The sequence below is a fragment of the Homo sapiens genome, chromosome 11 (assembly GCF_000001405.40).
Source record: "Homo sapiens chromosome 11, GRCh38.p14 Primary Assembly".
Taxonomy (NCBI): domain Eukaryota; kingdom Metazoa; phylum Chordata; class Mammalia; order Primates; family Hominidae; genus Homo; species Homo sapiens.
This window is the reverse complement of record NC_000011.10, coordinates 27,002,830-27,022,054: the sequence shown is the minus strand read 5'-3', so window position 1 is coordinate 27,022,054 and position 19,225 is coordinate 27,002,830.

The window sequence follows — 19,225 nt, the reverse complement described above, 5'->3', positions numbered from 1 at the left end:
TTTGGTAAAATTTTAAAACACTGTTAAGGCCAGACTTAGATGGGCATTGTGAAAAAGTTGCTCTTATATCCAGTAGGTGGGGATGTAAATAGTGTTGATATAAAAAGTTATAATATTTTTTCCAAGGAATTTAGACAGTTTATTAGTCAGTATTCTTCAAAGAAACAGAGCCAATAAGGTATACAGATACATAAAATTTTGGCCCAGAAGTTGCTTTTCTAGTTTTCTGGTTTATAGAAATAATTTTTTATATGCATAATCGTGTATGCAAAATGATGTTTATTACAGCACTCTATGAGTTAAAAAAACTTGAAAAGGTAAGCAACCTAATGCCTACCTATATGGTGAATATATATATATGGAGATTTATTATGGAAATTGGCTCACGCAATCATGGAGGTTGAGACGTCTATAATATGCAATCTGCAACCTGGAGAAGCAGGAAAGCTAGTGGTATAATTCAGTCCAACTTTGAAGGTCTAAGAACCAGGGAAGTCAATGACATCCTCCCAGTCTGAGGCTGAAGATCTGAGAACTGGGGTGGCAGGGAGTGAGGGGTGGTGTTGGTGTAAGCTGAGTCTGAAGGCCCAAGAACCAGGAACTCTGATGTCCAAGAACAGCAGAAGAAGGATGCCCCAACTCAAGTAAGGAGAGAGAGACAGAGGGGGAGAGAAAGAGAGAATCTGCCTTTCTTCTGCCCTTTTGTTCTATTTGAACCCACGATGGACTAGATGATGTCCACCCTCATTCCTGAAGGTGGATCTTCTTTATTCAGTCTACTGGTTCAAAAATGCTAATTTCTTCTAGAAATACTCTTGGAGACACACCCAGAAATAATGTTTTGCCAGCCTTCTGAACATCCCTTAGCCTACGTAAGTTGACACATAAAATTAGCCATCTGTGAGGATTTCTGGTTTATAGGAATAATTTTTCATATGCATAATCGTATATGCAAAATGATGTTTATTACAGCACTCTATGAGTTAAAAAACTTGAAAAAGTAAACAACCTAATGCCTATCAATATGGTGAAATGGCTAAACTAACATATCTATCTACATATTTCTCACAAGTACACGAGTTGGCTGAGCTCCAGCTCTTCTTAAGTGAGCTTGGCTTCAGTGTTTGAGTTAGATTTATGTCTGCTCCACATGCCTCCCACTCTCCTTGAACCAGTGATGACCTGAAGCATGTTCTTTTCATGGCAAAAGGCAGGAGTGCTAGAGGGCCAGCCAATCCACATAGTGCTTTTTAAGTCCTTGCTTATATGGGATCTGCCAATATCCTATAGGTCAAAACAAGACATATGACCAAGTCCAACATAAATGGGCAGGGAAGTAAGTTCCTCTTTTTGGAGGAGGTCAAGAGGAAAGGAATGACTACTTGCAAATAATCTAATGACACCTAAATACCAACATCTAGTAATCTAAAACATCTTCAATTTCACAGGTTTCCAGTAAATTTCAGGTACAAAGAAGTCCAATCCAGTGTAGTTGAATTGAAAGCTTTGATGTCATATTCAACTTACTGCTCACGTCTCAGCCTTCTGCATCTAACTTGGGGTGGCCCCAGTGCTGGGGCTCCTGGAAAGATCTGCTTTTTCTTTTCATTTACTTGATCTTTCTAGAATTGAAGAAGATAGAATAGTACAAACACCTTTAATTCAGCAGGTCATGGCACTTGTAGATGTCTCTTGGCAGTCTCTGAATCTATGCCTAAGACTGACTCCTTATGCCCTTGTACAGCAAACATGTACATACTGGCTCTATTGTGAGAGGAAAGAGGGTCCTTCAAGGTTTTCTTACTGCCTGGTTTTCTACTGTGAGATTCTTCTTGGCTCAACTTTCTTGGACCCTTTCTTCTTGTGCTCCTGGAAGTCCACCCCGTGGACTCTTTATGCTCTTGATATCACACTGGGTGCCCAGCCCTTTTGGATGTGCTATCAGCAAGATGTTTCCTGTTTAAATATCTATTGCAATGGCCACTTAACTTTGAACATTTTGCACACCTTTGCTAAGCTTCACCGCTGGTGCTCCCACTTCCACATTGCCATATCTTTCCAAATCCTTTGCCCCCTTCTTAAATAGGCATAAAAGGCAGATTCGCATGCATGCTACCTAAACACAGGTCTAACCGGTGAATAAGATGACAATTCCACACAGGTGCAGGCACTCTCAGGCTCTTCAAGTGGTTCTCTGAGTGCCCTTCTCACTTGGTTTGGGATGAAGATAGGTGACATCTTTCTCTCTTCCACAGGAAGCAAGGGTTGAGAAGGAGTACAACACTTAACTCTAGGCCAATGACTCCCTCCTTCCACACACCTTTGTGTCTCTAACTTTCTCTTTATTTAGACTGGAAATTGTAGAGGGAGAGAGAGGAAGATGATTTAAGAGCTGAGACATGATCAGAATTGGAAGAGTCAGTTCCACGGCTTTGAAATAAGCTTTGGGGAGACTCTGGCCCATCTTTATTTTCTCCTGTTTTTAAAATGTGGGGGTATTTAATACCTCTTTGCCATCAGCATTGGGTCCCAACAGTCAATTCTAAGGAAAAGTCTTATTTCAGTTTCATATTACTTAGTGCAGAGAAGTCTGGGGTTTCCAGTCAAGAGAAGCCATGCCACTGGAGAAATTCTTATCTCTGCATGATGTAATTTGAGTGCTCTGGAAAGCTCCCATCCTGGATTAAAAATGCACACTCTTAAAATTCCAAAACAGATGGGAGTGTAGGGATAAGCAATGTTTCTACAAGGACTAAATTAAGAAAACATCTTAATCTCTTCTATTATTAGTCTAGCTGTCTGGCACTGTGTACCCTGGTGGGTCAGAACTGAGTGGGAAATTGGAACCATCCTGAGATGCAAGAATGTCACTTATACTCACCATTTATAGTACCAGCTGTAGCCTTCCTGGTAGAAATGCTCTAACCAAAAAAAGGAAACATCATTCTTTTTTGACACATTGTAATTAACATTATTGACTGAGCTAGAGTTCTTGCTCCTTATCATGATGGGGAAGAGTGAGGGTGCTGGAGTTGGAGATATCTGGACTGTAATCTTGATTCTGCTACTTTCTAGCTGAGTGACCTTAGGCAGTTTAAGCTCTCTAAGTTCAATATCTTTATCCTAAAACTGAGAATCATAACTTCCTCATAACATCATTGTGGTTAAATGATATAATGTATATAAAGGTCTTAGCACACAGTAAGTACTTACAAAGGGTTACTATTATTATTTTTAAAAACTGAAAGAGATAACTGATTAGGTCAGCATGGCATATGCTTGGGTAAGGAATATTTGCCAGTCCCTTAAAAACTTAATCGTACTATATGCAGAAACTTTTGATTTTGTTTGAATAATCCTGTGTTTTTACACATCATAGTTTTGAAGAATGTGGCTATCATATTGATTATTCCTGAATATTTTGGACTACTGTGACTATCTGGCCAAAATGAAATGTGACCCAGGAAAGGTGATATTGGACAGCAACAAAAATACACTGATTTTCAATGTTATGATTGTTTTTATGTTTCATTATTTCACTGTATTCATTCCAAAGCACACATATACTCACTACATCAATACATCCCCTTCTGTCCTTCATAGTTACTAATTGTAGGATGACCAGTTCTTTTTATAATGCAGTTGTTTAGTGGACATCCATGGATTTCAGCACAATGAGGAAGTATCTTACACAACTTTGCTTGAGATATGTTTTTTTATAGGCTAGCAAAATCAGTACATTAGTCCAGACAGCACATGTACCCCAGCAACACGGAACTTGTTACCCATGGCTTTCCAATATCATGTGATATTTCCATATCGTTTTTTACCTTTGCCATTTATCTTCATAAGAAGGCTACTGTGACATTTGGAAAGAGCTTGATATTTGGAGCCTGTGGTGGAAGTATCAGCTGTCCACTCAAATTCACTCTTCCCGCATTTCTGTGAGCCACCCTCCCAGGTAAGTGCACTGGTGTATGTGACTAAGTTCACTCTAATAACATGAGAGCAGCCGGGTGCAGTGGCTCATGCCTATAATTCCAGCACTTGGGGAGGCTGAGGCAGGAGGATCACTTGAGGTGGGAGGATCACTTGAGCCCAGGAGTTTGGGACCAGCCTGAGCAACATAGTGAGACCCACAATCTCTGCAAAAAAATGAAAAAATTAGCCGAGCATAGTGGCACATGCCTGTGGTCCCCAGCTAATTGGGGGCTGAGGTAGGAGGACCCAGAAGGTCACGGCTTCAGTGAGCCATGATTGTGTCCCTGCACTCTAGTCTGGGTGACAGAGCAAGAACCTATCTCAAAAAAGAAAAGAAAAGTAAAAAGAGAGTAGGAATAATGAGTATCATTCCAAACCGGCCTGTAGAAGTCACCACAGTGTACTCTTTCATACTCTTTCCTACAAACAGTGATGAGAATCTGGACAGCTATAGAGCCATAAAATAGGAGTTTGGGTCTTTACATGATCACATAGAGGAGAGCCACTCCGCTGACTCAGATAATGCTCTTTGGACCTTCAGATGAATAAGAAATAAATATCTATTTTGTTAAGCTGCAGAATGTTTGGGGCTTATTTGTTACTGTAACTCAGCTTAATGATAGTATATAATCAGACAGATTTAGGTCCAAATAGGATGTTTAATTCTTCTTAGATACTTAGTGCTGAGTGATTCTCTTATCTTCTCTGAGCCCGCTGTTTTACGTGAAATATAGATGTGATAATAGCTACATGTTCTGTGTTCTTTTATATGGTGGCCAGTCAGGTGTGTCCTGAGGGAAGCCACAGGAAAATAAAGTTTGTAATACTCACAGGTCCTTGAAACAGGAAGTATGGAATGCCACAGAGAGCCACATGGGTCAGGAGGCAGGAAGGGCAGGCACAGGGTGGAGGCCAGGGCAATGGCCTTGATTGGGGTTTCCATGGGAAAGGCTAGGCAGGGCAGGGTATATAGTTTAGGATGGGCTAATTTGAAGAAGTTCAGCAGGCTTTGAACTATAGGGATGGTCCCTAGTTGCCTGGTCCCTGGATCTGGGATGATGAAGGCAGGGGAATATTGCCTCCTGGGGTGTATAGCCCAGATAGAGGATGGGTCAGGTAGAGGCTCTGTATTGATTAGTTTGCACATAAAAGGCATGCTCCTGGCTGAGCCCTTTGCTATCTAAGAATTGGCTAGCCCAGGAGAGGCAAACTCTCCCCAGTCAAAAAACTTTTTAAGATGTCAAAACATTATAATATACAGAAAATTAAAAAGTGTATATAAACAGTACACTGCATCACAAATTACCATTGGGATTTATGTTAACTTAGGTGCTTCCTATACCTTATCTTAAATCCCAAGTTTTTGACATTTTTCTTTTTGTTTTTGACTCAGGAGTAGAGGATTGGATGAATCATTGACTCTAGTCATTACATACTCTCATCATTGGCTCATGAATAGTCTTGTTTTGTTGTCTATATGTTTATAGTTATTTATTTTCAACAATACAGAAACATTTGAAGACCCATCACCCAATGTAAGAAGTAGAATATTGCTTGAAAATCTCCTCTGCTCACCCTATTACAGGGTAGGTCACAGTTATCTCGCATCGTCACAGACTATGTCTTAAGTCTTTTAAACAATCTGGTTTCCATGGAGCTTTGTAGGAGGCCAGCTCCTTTTTTCAGAGATCAGCCCACAGTGGATTGGTCTTGAAAAGTTTGTCTTTACCTCTCAATCCCATTCATCTACCTTTTCTCCAACACTTGGTATTGTTAAACATTGTCATACCACTGTGGCCAATTAAAGAAGTCTAAAATAGTGTCATGTTATAATTTGTATTTTCCAGATATCTGTTGAAACTGAATATTTCCTTGTATGTGTATTAACCATATGTATTTTCTTTACCTTGAGGTGCTTGTTCATGTCTTTTAATAATTTTTATTGTGTTTTTGTCCTTATGATTTCCAAGAGTTTTTTTTACATATTCTTGTTACTAATTTTTTATTAGTTATACATGTTGAAAATATCTTCTTCCAGTTCGTAACATGTATTTTCACTTTCTTTAATGTGCCTTCTGATTAGCAAGTGGTCTTAAATTTAATATAGATTCACCAAATTTTTCTCTTCGTTGGTACATTTTGCACCTTAAGAAATTCTTTTCTACCTTAAGATCAGAAAGAAATTCACCTATATTTTCCATTAACACTTTTTCTTTTGACATTTAGGTCTTTAATTAATCTAGAATTTATTTTTGTAGGGCAAGAAGAAATCCAATTTTTTTATATAGATAACTAACTTGTGAGGACCTTTTTATTTCATCATTCATGATTTCTGAGATTTGAATTTAGCATTTTACCCAGATTAAAATCATGCATGGTATAGCATGAGCCACATCACTTCTTTCCTTAGACAGACTCTTCATATCATGACTGCTTTGCTCTGAATATTTGTGTGTCCCCAGAATTAACGTTTAAATCTAATCACCAATGTAATGGTTTTAGGAGGTAGGGTCTTTGAGGGGCTATTAGGTCATGAGGTTGGAGCCCTCATGAATGAGATTAGTGTCCTAATAAAAAGATCCCAGAGACCTCCCCTGTCCCTTCTGCCACATGAGGACACAGCAAGAAGATAGCATCTATGAACCAGGAAGCAGGCCCTCACCAGACACTGCATCTGTTGGTGCCTTGATTTTGGACATCCTAGCCTCTAGAACTGTGAGAGATAAATTTCTCTTGCTTGTAAGAAACCTACTTTATGATATTCTGTTAGAACAGCCCGAACAAACTAAGATAATTGCTTTGAGGTGAGAAAGGTACTCTCATTACTAATGCTATTTTATTTACTTAACTATTTATGCCTCAATGCCTCTGAACAGGATGAATTACATCTGCACTTTGTTTCTTACATTCTTCTTAGTGTCAAAACTCTTTATTTTGTTTTGCTTTAAGTTACCTCTCTTAAAAAAATTCTCTTAGTGTGATTTTCTTGGACTGGGTCATATACCATTGCCCCTAAAGCCTCCCTTCATAATCATAATCAGTGACTGAAGGTGAAACTTGTGTGCCTTGAGTGTCTCATCTCCTTCAGTAGACATTTTATCAAGGACATGCAAGGATCACTTTGAAGAAATTGATAGGTTTGAGTCTTCTGCAAGGTTGGGGAAGGACATACCAGGTCAAGAGTAAGAAGGCTGCTGAGATGGTATTGTCTGGGTGTCATATGTATACCCAGTAGAAGTGTGAGGTGGTGTTCAGTGAGTTCTGTGGCCTCACTGATGAAACCCAGATTTGCTATGGCTAGCAGTAACTAGTGGTTTCCAGTGATGTTTCTTCACAGGGATAGGTTTATTCTTAGGAACAAGTATAAATACTACTTGACAAAGTTAGCATATGGTCTTGCTTTGGTAAACTTTTGAGTCATTAATACTGACTATTTTTTAAAAATCAAAGTTTATTTGTATCCTTTTGAAAATGCATCTTATTGAACAGAGGAAGAGTTTCCCCAAAAGACAACTGCAATCTTTCATTTTTTATTCAACAGACTTTTGCACAACGCCAAATAGAATTGATCTAATGCTGGATAGAGGAGGGATTATAGAAACCAAGTAGCTTCAGAAGGAAAAAACCCAATTCGTACTGTTACCTGCAATTCTTATTCTGCATGCATTCCTCCATCTGAATCTGCAAACCAATTATGCTATTAATTCAGGGTCTGTGGTTAAACCAGAGGCTTGAGCTAACACTGCAGCATGTTACATCCACTTCTTGATGACACACCACCTACAAAGATAGGCAGTTGCTTTTGACTATTTCACTTGCAGATACTTGCCAGAGCTCCTAGTAACAGAGTGTGATACATAATTTGCCTAAGAAGTGTTTAAATAAGGAGTTGCTGAAATCTTATCTGTCAAGATTCCAAAATCTAATCTTGTGAGCCCAATTTTCTGAATGGTGGTGAAATATTCTAGTATTATAGTTGCTATGGGCTGGAGCAAGTGCTGCTCAGTTCATTTGAATTAAACTCAACTCTGCTACAGTTGCTGAATATACAACACAGAATTGTTCAATTATGTATACTTTATTGAGCACCCGTTATGTATGAGGCACTGCTCTGCGGGAGATGATGAAAAGCCATTTTCACTGCTTTCAATCTACTTGAGGAGACAAGAAAACTTCTTGGTAGCAAGCAATAAAAACGCCTCTGACTACTTTAAGCAAACAGACTTAATGGCAGGATTTCAGGGCCTCACAGAATCAAAAGGCAGTACAGAGACGAGTTTTAGGAATGAGAGGAATGAAAAACGAATCCGTCTGTTAATTTATCTGTTTGTCTGTCTGTGTCTGCTTGCCTGCTTTCTTTCTCTCTTTCTTTCTTTCTTCTTTCTTTCTTCTTTCTTTCTTTCTTTCTTTCTTTCTTTCTTTCTTTCTTTCTTTCTTTCTTCTTTCTTCTTTCTTTCTTTCTTTCTTTCTTCTTTCTTTCTTCTTTCTTTCTTTCTTTCTTCTTTCTTCTTTCTCTCTCTTTCTTTCTTCTTCTCTTGTCTTCTCTTCTTTCTCTTCTCTTCTCTTCATCATCCGTGTATCTATATTACACACACACACACACTCCAAGCTGGAGGCCCAAAGTGCATGAAACTGGGACCATTCAGAAAATATTTCTAGCAGGAGTCCACATTCTATATGCTGGTAAAATTGCCACTATTGCTACTTAATCTTCTTCTGTCATAAGAATGACTGCCACTCAAAGTTCCAGAAGAATCTGATTTCTAGTTACATGCCTGTCCTGGCAGAGCCAGAATTTGGTCTCCTAGCCTTCCCAAGTTAGAGATGGGCATTCACAAGCCAGGAACTACCCTTCAACCAAGGTTGAACACAATGGGAGAAGGCAATTCTCCAAAAGGAAATAGGGGGACTATTGAAGATAGAAAGGATTCTAGACATTGCTTACTGTAGGCAAGATCAATGTTGTCATGCTGAACAGACATGCAGGAGAATGAAGACCAAGAAGGGGATATAGAATTTGGAGATAAATTAGAAGTTCATTATTGTTGGTGACAAATGGAGCAATAATGAAGCACCCCCTAAGAATACAGGAAATAAGGAAGTAAAATGACCACATGAGAGTTAAACTGTAAACTGAACACTTTGGGTTTGGTAACTGAGAAATAGGCAAATATACATAAAAGGGACTGAATGTCCTCCAGGCCAGTAAGACTGAACTGGAACCTGATTGAAGGCATTACTTTATCTAAAGAAAGAATGCATCCTTAAGAAGAGATGCTGGCCAGCAAAGGAGAAGCAGAGACACATAAGCCAGAGAAGAGAGTGCCCTGATAAGATGATGTAAACAGCCATTTTTCTCAGGGAGACACATCCTTATCACGGAAGCAGACACACCGATGTCATTAAACATTCCAATCACCCGTGTTAACTACAAGAGAACCAATTCTTTGCCCACCAAGGTATCTTCTGATAAATTGGCTTTCATGTAGCTTTTCTGCAGGAAATATGCAACAGAAAAAGATGGTTTAACAGTTCTATTTCCTTTTTCTAACACATACCCTGGTTCATATACCCAAATCAGTATGAGTCATCATCCTGAATATAATCAACTCTGTAAAACTGCTAAGGCTGTTTCTGCAGCTGCCAGACTGAGGGTCACAGCCTGCATTTATTGAGCTCACAGAAGTAAATGGCCTCTTGGCAGCCAGCTAGCTGATCTTCCCCGGCAACAAAACTACTTTGTTTCTTGCTTTGTCTCAAATGACTTCAGTAAGCAACTTCTGAGAAAAGAGTCCCAGTGAAGAGATGGTCAGATGAAAGCAGACTACAGAGGGTTAAAGCATGAAAGTGTCTTAATAATACTACTCCTTTATACTTGTGTTGTGTCTTACAGTTTTGAGAACATTTCCACTTATATTATCTCATTTGACTATTTTGTGAGGGAAGCAAGGATTTCAGAACCGACTTGACAAGTGGAAATGCTGGCACTTAGAGATTATGGGATTTACAGGCGAGAAGTGGTAGAGAGAGAACTCTTTCTCCCACAAGTCCAGGGTTTTCCCATTGGTCTGCACTTTCTAGAGTTTCTTAGGCATTGTGCTGATCACCATGGGACTGTGAAAGGTGAGTGAGGCACTCTTCTGGGCCTTAAAGAGAAGGCAGTGCTACAAAGCTGCACGCTTAGATCGTTTATCTTGTTTTTAAGCTTTAAGAGGGATCAATTCACTCATTCACTAACTCAACCTAAGCATTAGAATTATAAAGGGGAATAGACAGATATGGTTTTTTTTCACTTATCAATCTTTCAGATCTGGAACATCTGGGATGTCCACTTTCTGTCTGCTTCAATGCCAAGAGGCTGGGAAATTCCACATTGTTGAAAGTATGATGTGCCAAGCATAGTTCCAGGGACTTTATATGCCTTATATCACAAAATTATCTCAACTACTTTATAAGGGAACTTTGCTAAATCAAAATCTTTTAAGGGGACTCTCAGCTGACTTATAATTTACTTTCTAGGTATCTTTTTCCCTAAATTTTAAACTCCATGAAAACAATTGCTTTCTGTCTTGCCATCTGCTATAGTTTCCGAACCTAGCAAAGAATGTTCGATAAATATTTCTTTATTTAAAGATAGAAAGAACCTATCTTTAAAGATAAATTATTAAATAAGTTTTCCAATATTTGGAGTATTGAATCAAAGATTCAAACAAACGTCTGAATTAATCCAGAGTCTGTGTTACTTGTTGACCTGAATTTTATTATCTTTCTGTATACTAACTGGTAGTATTTTTGTGTTAAAACTCATCTCAGAGATTTATAACCATGAATTTTCATTTCTTTCATGCCAACAATTTATCTGTCTTTCTATTAAGAGAGCCAAAACTAAGCTTTAATTAAATATCAAATTTAAACGCAGATAGAACTTAAGCTACAAATAGGTAGGTACAAAAGAAAGAAGATATTTTTCCTTTAATCTAGATTTCTAGCAGAGGAATAGAGTAGACTTCACATCTTCTTTTGTCGATCAGTTTTACTAAAATTAATGTTCTTATAATTCAGGAGATTCCTTACTTACTAAATTAATAAGTAGTTAGCAACTGGATTGTCAGCAAGTTGCTCTAAAAATATTTGGAAAAAAAAGTTTCACCCTGCCACCACAGAAAGTTTAAGGTGATAATGTCACTTATAAGAGAATGGTAAATTAATAAGTAATTAGAAATAAATGTTTTCTCACTCCCATCCAGGACATAACATGTGAAGATTTTATCAAAGCCAGCCTTCCTTTTCCTGACCTCCCTCACCAGGACTAATCCTCTTATAGTTATAGCAACATTAACTTCTCAGTTGCCGCATATATCATAGTTACAACTATCCATCTAGTCGTTTAATCTGTAAATATTTTCTGAGCTTCTGCTTTGTGACAGGCATTGTTGTGGACATAGGGGTTACAGCATGAAGCAAGGTGCCTGCTCTCACCAGGTTTTTCTCTTGTTTGGGAAGACAGACAACAGATAAAAATATAAAATAATTTTAGGTAGTAATAAGAATTACAATAAAAGTAAAACAGGATAATGTGATGAAAACGGGATGTGGTAGAGGCCTACTTTAGAAATTATGTGTTTTAGCTATCTATTGCTATATACAAATAATCCTCATATTTTGTGGCCTAAAACAATACAATTTAAAATTTCTACAATTTTTTAACTTGACTTGGTTTAGCTGGTTGGTTCTTCTGCTCCACATTGTGAAAACTGAGTTAACTCAAGTGGCTGCATTTAGCTAAGAGCTCTTTTGGCTCCAGCATGTTCAACATGGCATCTGCATTTTTGGACCTCTTTTCATTGTGGGTGCTTTCATTCAGATGTCTAGCCCAGCATTCTTTATACCTCAGTGGCTAGCATCTAAGTAGAAAAGGTGGAAGCTGCTGGGCCTTTTAAAGTTTGGGTCCCAAACTGTCACAAGTCATTTTTACCATATTCTATTGGTCAAAGCAAATACATAGGCCATCCAGATTCAAGGAGAGGGAAGAAAATGCTACCCTCTGTTGGATGAAGCACAATTTGTGGCTATCTTTAATTCATCAGAGGATATATGAGTATTTACTTAAAGACACTTTCCACTAGACTTTAAGCTCTGAGAAAGCAGGAATAATATTTAGTATTGCTCACTATTGTTACACCAGTGTCTAGCATTGGTACCAAATGAATGACAGTGTCAACAAATGCTAGGAAAGGGTGAAGAAAGCAAATACTTTGTTCTCATGTTACCTTCTCCCTTTCTTATGATCATGAAAGGCATTGCTAATGGATCACAGAACTCTTTCCTGTGGGATCCTAATACGACCTCAAAAATTTGCTTGGCACAGTGATCCAAGTAGTCCTTTGCCAGTGAAAATTGTCATGTATGTTACTCACCATGGGCAGTAGCCCCGGGGAAGCCTTTAGGAAGGTGGAAAGAACTAGGCTTAAAAATATGTGTAGGATTTAGAAGTGCAGAAAAAACGAACCTAGGCTTTCACTGGCTTTTATTGTTCCTTCAGATGAATTTATACAAGGAGTCTCCTCTTTGCAGATAAATTTAAAAAAATAACAAAACATATCACTCACTTTCTGGGTGAATGCATCCTCTTGAGGTACATGATTTTGTGAGTATACAACAACTAGTGTGTGAAGAAAAATGAGCTTCTCTCTCCAGGAAGGTACAGCCCTGGTCTAGGGAATGTGGCTTGACTTAATGCTTTGATGAATCACACAAACTCCCAGGCATATAAGACATATCTGACAGGGTATTTGAACATGAACAATGGCAAGTAAACATAAATGAAGGTTATGCTTGAGTTATTTATTTTTACCTCTAGAATCATTTTTCTTATAAGCTGTAATCTTTCAGGTTGAAGGTATGTACCTACAATACTTTATTTTAGGACTGTTGATTCTACCCTATGAACAGCTGGGCTTACAATGATAACTAGTTAGCATCCAACAATGATTGTTTCCTCCATGTCAAAACCACCAAGTGAAAAATGAAAGCACCAGCCAACCAGATGTTTTGTCTACATCATGCCAAACTATTAGTTAGAGTAAATCCACTCCACTCATCCCCTTTAATTGTCTTGCCAAATTGCAGAAGTCATAATCAATGGGAAAACCAGAAATCCAGGCTTTTGGTTTGTTGAAGTCAAGGAGATAAAATTAACCTGTTGATTAATGCTTTCACTTTTTTTTCTTTTTTCTTTCTTTCTTTTTTTTTTTTTTGAGATGGAGTCTTGCTCTGTCACCAGGCTGGAATGCAGTGGCTCGATCTCGGCTCACTGCAACCTCTGCCTCCCGAGTTCAAGTGATTCTCCTGCCTCAGCCTCCAAAGTAGCTGGGACTACAGGTATATGCCACCATGCCCAGCTAATTTTTGTATTTTTAGTAGATATGGGGTTTCACCTTGTTGGCCAGGATGGTTGATGCTTTCACTTTTCAACTAGATGTTGGGACACCATAACCACAATTCAATATAAAACGTGAATTTGTATCAGGCTACCTGGAACTCTCTGGTATCTCTAAGTTCCTATATTAGACACAACTTTGCAAAACAAATTAGATTATTCTAAAATTCTATTTTCTTCATGCCTTGAATCCAGTAATATACCCATTACTTTGGGAAAGAAATCTTAGCTATCTTAGCTTAGATATCCAAGATCCTCAATCTAACTGCCACCTCCATTTGTCCCACTACTCCCTTATGTTTTATATATTATAGCCCAGTGTTTCATCACCTTGATACTATTGACATTTTGGACTGGATAACTCTTCGTCATGGAGGGTTGTTATATGCACTGCAGGACGCTTAGCACCATCCCAGCCCTCTACCCTTTCCTTTCCATGTCATTCTCTTTTCCTAGTGCATGTGGTTCTTCTTCATGGATAAACTTTTTGTCAGGAAGAGAAGTGGATAATGTGTTTGTCCAGTTTCTTTCCTTTCTACCAAGAGCCAGGAGGGAGATAGGAAGAGAAGGAGAGGCCAAACAGGCAATGGGGAGAAGAAAAAGTGTGGACTCATTTTAATTATTTGATCCCTTCATGTTAATAGGACAAAGATTGTTTGCTATATATACATTACTTTACATCTAGTGAAATAGTTTAACATACGTGCCAGACAGTATACAAGCTAGACTCTCTTATTTGTTCCTCTTTAAATTCCTATGAAATAAGGGACATTATCTCCATTTTACAGAGGAGGAAACTGAGGCCCAGGGAGTTTCAGTTATTTGCCACAAACAGCCCATATAATGAGGGGAACCATGATTCAAGATATGACAAGCTGTGCCCCAAAGCCCCTGCTTTAAGCGATGTTTTAAGTTTATAATGGTTTAGGAGATGTTATCCTTGAGACAGTTTGCTTTGGTTTCATCTTCCTGTTATTGAAAGATGGATCACCTGAGAGGAAAAGCCAATGGAATTTCCATCTTCCCTGTGTATTTCCATTCCAGGGCCTTCACTTGCCTTTAATGACTTTCTCAGGCCTTCCTCTTGAGTGTGAGACCTTCCAGGGCTGAGCTCAGCCTGAACATGAAGCTTTTGGGAAAGAGTTAGGAAAGCCTGTTCAGCTATTTTTTAAGAAGAAGAAGAAAAAAGATATAAAGTACCATTTATCCCATTCCCCAAATAACTTAGCTTTTGGGATCTCAAATTCACAAGTGGTCAGACCTTTATGAGAAAGCTCAGAGTTAGTTGAAAAGGACTTGAATTTATGAGTCTTCCCTCCTTTCCCCTTTGTGAGCACAGGTGAGTGTGAAGCACGCTGCTGTCAGATGGTTGGCGAACTTGTTACAGAAAGGGCTGAGGTTTCCTTACATATAAAGTTCGTCAGCCATGGCAGCTTTGGGTTCTCATTAAGGCTGTTTCTCCTTCATTCTCCCTCTGATCCTTTCCCCTACACAAGGTCTTCTCCAGGTTTGCTTTTCATTCTACAAAACTCACTTATGAGTGCCAAGTTTAAACAAAGCATCCAACTAGGGGTTCATTTATTTATCCATTCAAATATATATGTTGAACTTCTACAAAATGCTAGGTAAGGTGCTAGGCATTTTACATATGTTATTTACTCGCCCCAAGAACCCTTCAAAGTGATTTAAATTAAAGAAACCCAAGTGTCAGGTTCACGACTATACCAAATGTCATACTGAGGTCCAAAGGGAGTGGTTGGATGAGCAGAAAGAACACTCGGGGGGCCGCAGGCAGGTGCAAGATGATTTTATTCAGCAGCAGCTCTCATCAACAGCTTTCTTACACTAGCTCTCTTTATCTCGGCTGTCTGCTCCAGCTCTGTGGCTCCTGCAGCCCCCATGCCTGCAGCTACATGGTGGGCTCTCCCTTTGCTTCAGAGTCAGCAGCTTAACCCTTTCTGTCTTTGGGCATGGACAAGCCTAGCAGTTCCCTGGCTCCCTCCTGTCCATCTGCAAAGATGGACAGCTCTGACTCTGTTTCTCTGGGCACCAGTGCGCCTACACAGTGTCCACAGGGCAGTTATACATTTTACAGACAACAGTGGCTTAAGGCCAAGGGGTGGCCTTCCCATGTTATGGCTACATGGCTGTGATAACAAGTGGAGTTAAACGCCTGCGCTCTGAACTCACTGAGTCATGCAGGTTGTAAACATCCTACTTCGGCCTATCCCTGACCAAAGCACAGCCATATTCCTTACACCAAGATATATTATATAAAGATATATTATATCTTTATATAGATATATTTATAAAGATATATCTTTATATATATCAAGATATATAAATTAAGTAAATTGTCCTTGGATATTAATATGAATGTAGAAATGAAATTCAACCTAGGGATTTGTCTTTCTGCAAAGCCCATGCTTTTAACTACTATACACCTTTTCTTCCTAGCAATAAACCAGAGCTGGGAGATCTGGGTTGTTGTTTATGTTACATAAGGAAGGGTAGTAGGAACTGGGGATATTGAGGCTGGCAAAAGGTGCCACCAGATATTTGATTAATTTGATGTGGAAAAGGGATAAATAATTGGGGGCTGTGGGTTTTTGAATGGTAGAAGATACATGGAGGAAGATTTTAGTTCAAAATGTAAAAGGGTTTTAGTTCAAAATGTAACAAAATTTTTATGAGTTAGAACTCTACCACAAATGAATGTACCCACCTCCCTACCCTCAACCTGACCCCAGCCAGAGAGAAAGGAGTACCCATAATTTGAAGAATTGAAGCACAGCCTGTATAATCACTTGTCAAGGCTGTTCTATTATAAGGATTCAGGCAGCTGGTGACCAGGTAAATAAGATGAGCTGGCTTTGTGATTCTGTGACTTCTTGACCTTAATACCAGGAGTCTATAGGACCTGGAATCAGTTTCTTCACCTGTTTAGGCTTCTCCATTTGTTAAGGTTATTTCTCACTCTGATGTTCTTACACTGTGTAGTTCTCAAGATTAAAACTATATCTACGGATATAATTACAAGTATGGTTTTTTACTATTTTAATCTGACAGAGGTTAGCATAATGTTGAAATCTTGAGTTTTGTTCTATGGCTTGCTGGCTCAATCCTGGCAAACTTGAGCCTGAAGTCAAGGTCTTCTCCTACTAATTTACTCTTATCTCTTTCTCAGTTTAACCCAAAGTTTGTTTTATTTAGCATTTGGGATCACCGAGGAAGGACTTGTTTTACATATTCCCAACTCCCAGTCTGAAGATGCTGTGGTCCTTCTAGAATTATGGTTCAACTATAAAGAAGGGTGAGCCAGATCAAGAGAGACTGTCAGCCAGAGAAGGGACTTGTGGCAGGGCTGGAGATCAAGGAGAGTGACAGAGGATGGCTGGCACAGGCATCAGGTGACATTCTATAGATAGTAGAACAGTTTATAAGCAACCTTCCTAAAGGGTTGTTGCAAGGATTACCTGTGTTAAATACATGTTACGTGCTCAGAATGGTGTTACATAATAATAGATATAGTAGGTAATACTATCTGTTTTGTTGTTATTGCCATTTTTATCCTCTATGTGCAGCAGCAACCGTACTTGGTAGGTGCTCAATAAATAGGTGGTGAATGAACAGAGGAATGAACAAATAGCCCTTTTGGAAGGTAGTTTTTTTTAAAAAAATAATGATTTAAAGGCAAAAGTGGTAGTTGCATCTTTTGGTAATGCAACTGTAATGCAAAATGCAACTGTAATGCAAAATGTAAAATTTTGGAATTTTACAGAGGAAATGGGAAAGCCCTGTAAAACCTGACATCCTGTTGATATCATACCACTATTGTGAACTGTCAGTCCAGATATTTCACTGTGATCCTTTTTATGGTGAAACTCTTGGAAATGAGGGCCTATAAAAATATGATTATGGGATGAGTATTTATCATTATTGCCTTTGCCAATTTCTAAGCCTGAATGAGTTTTTGTTTGAGCCAGTTAAAGATTTTTTCTTTTTCTGTTTTTTCTTCAAGTGACCCAAATGCCTTTAATTTAGAAAAGAAATATGCATATTTATTCTTTATATTTATAGCTAAATATATACATGTATTAATGTTCACTGGGTCAATTGTCTCCTCTTGTATTGTAAAGGGTGCAAATTCAAGCTTCTTCTAGGGATGTGTGAGAGGGGCCACCATATCCTATCTTGACTACTTGTTCAATTGAGCCAAGGCCTCTTTGCAGCCCAGGTAGAGGTTGCATGGGGAGAAGCAGGCAAGCTGGAGAATTGCCAAATTGCCTTCTCACTTCAACGAGCCATCAAAGTTTCATGCAAATGTACGCAGGTACTCTCAGTGAAACTCATGTACATCAGACCTGAAACAGGGCTTGAATCAGTCCAGTCTACCAGCTCTGCTAAGCTCCTGACCTGGCAGTTAGGGATACCAAATCATAGAGTCTGGGGTTATAGAAGGAAGTGTGTGCTGTCACCCTAAGGTTTTCCATACTGAGATTACTTGGGGTGTAGCCTTCAGTCTTGTAGGCCTAAAAACTGGAATTTTCCAGGCTACCCAGTATTTAATATATAGTTAATGGCTCAATAAATACTAGAAATTAATACTGTTATTTTCTCTAACTTGGTGGCCTATTGCCAAGTTTTGAGAGTTCTTTCACTGTTGCTGTCTATATCCTGAAATTCCCAAGTTACTTTCATGTGCATCACCTCCATGCACAAGGCATAAAGTAAAGGTCCTGTTAACATTTGGAAATAAAGGGTAAGAAAATTTTCTGTTATCTCCTGCTGCAGCATTCATTTTCTTGGCCCAAATAGGGAAGGGGTGTTTGGTGCAAACACACGTATAGGAACCTTTCTTATATGAATGGGAACAAGCACATATTTGGCTTCTGAGGAGCCTGCCAGGAAGAGGAGGTCAAGGCTGGCTCATAGAAAATACATGGAATCCCAAAGGCGTATTTGAAACACAACTTTTTCAGCCAAAGAACATATAAGGTATTCTTTCTTAAAAGAGGATCCTCAATGAGCTATATGTTGCCAGATTGTGTGAGAATAGTGACATTATTTCTCAGTCTTATGTTAAGCCCCTTCCATACATTGGCTTATCAAATCCTTACAAGAACCCTGCAAAGCATGTGTCATATTCCCCACTGTATATGGAGGAAACCGAGGTTCTAAGAGGTTGTAAAATTTGCCCAGATTCCCCAGCTAATATGTTGCAAAGGCACAATGTGAATCAGTTTCTGCCTTTACTTCTTTAGCCTCTAACAGTGAAATCTATACTGTCTGGAGGCAGAGAGGGAAAGAGGAAAAAGGAGGAGAGAACAGGAGAGAAGGGAACTGGGGCAGGAGAAAATGGATGTTTGAAGGGTAGGCAAAAATATAACTCAGAGCAATGCAAACTCACTAACTAGGTTTTCCACTCTGTATAATTTAATCTATAGTAGCATCTGGTGGAAATTGTTAGTGGTCAACTCGTGGAACTGCCAGCAAAGCTTACATTTTGGAAGTTGAGTGGAGCATACCCGTTCGCTTGGTCTTGGGATGAGAGTTGGGAAAAGATCAAAGTGAGAGAAGACATTCAGGAAACACATTTCTTTAACTGCCTGCAGGAGGAAACTTTTCACAACTGGAAAATGCAAGCCATTACTGCCAACCCTGGAGCACGGAGACTTTACCTTATTAATCATAGCTGTCAGGGTCCTTTCAGTAAACAGCAAGCTGTTGACATACAAAATATCTTCTGTATTTCATGGAAAAGCAAAAGGGGGAAATGGTAAAATATACAAGTCATCAAAGTAA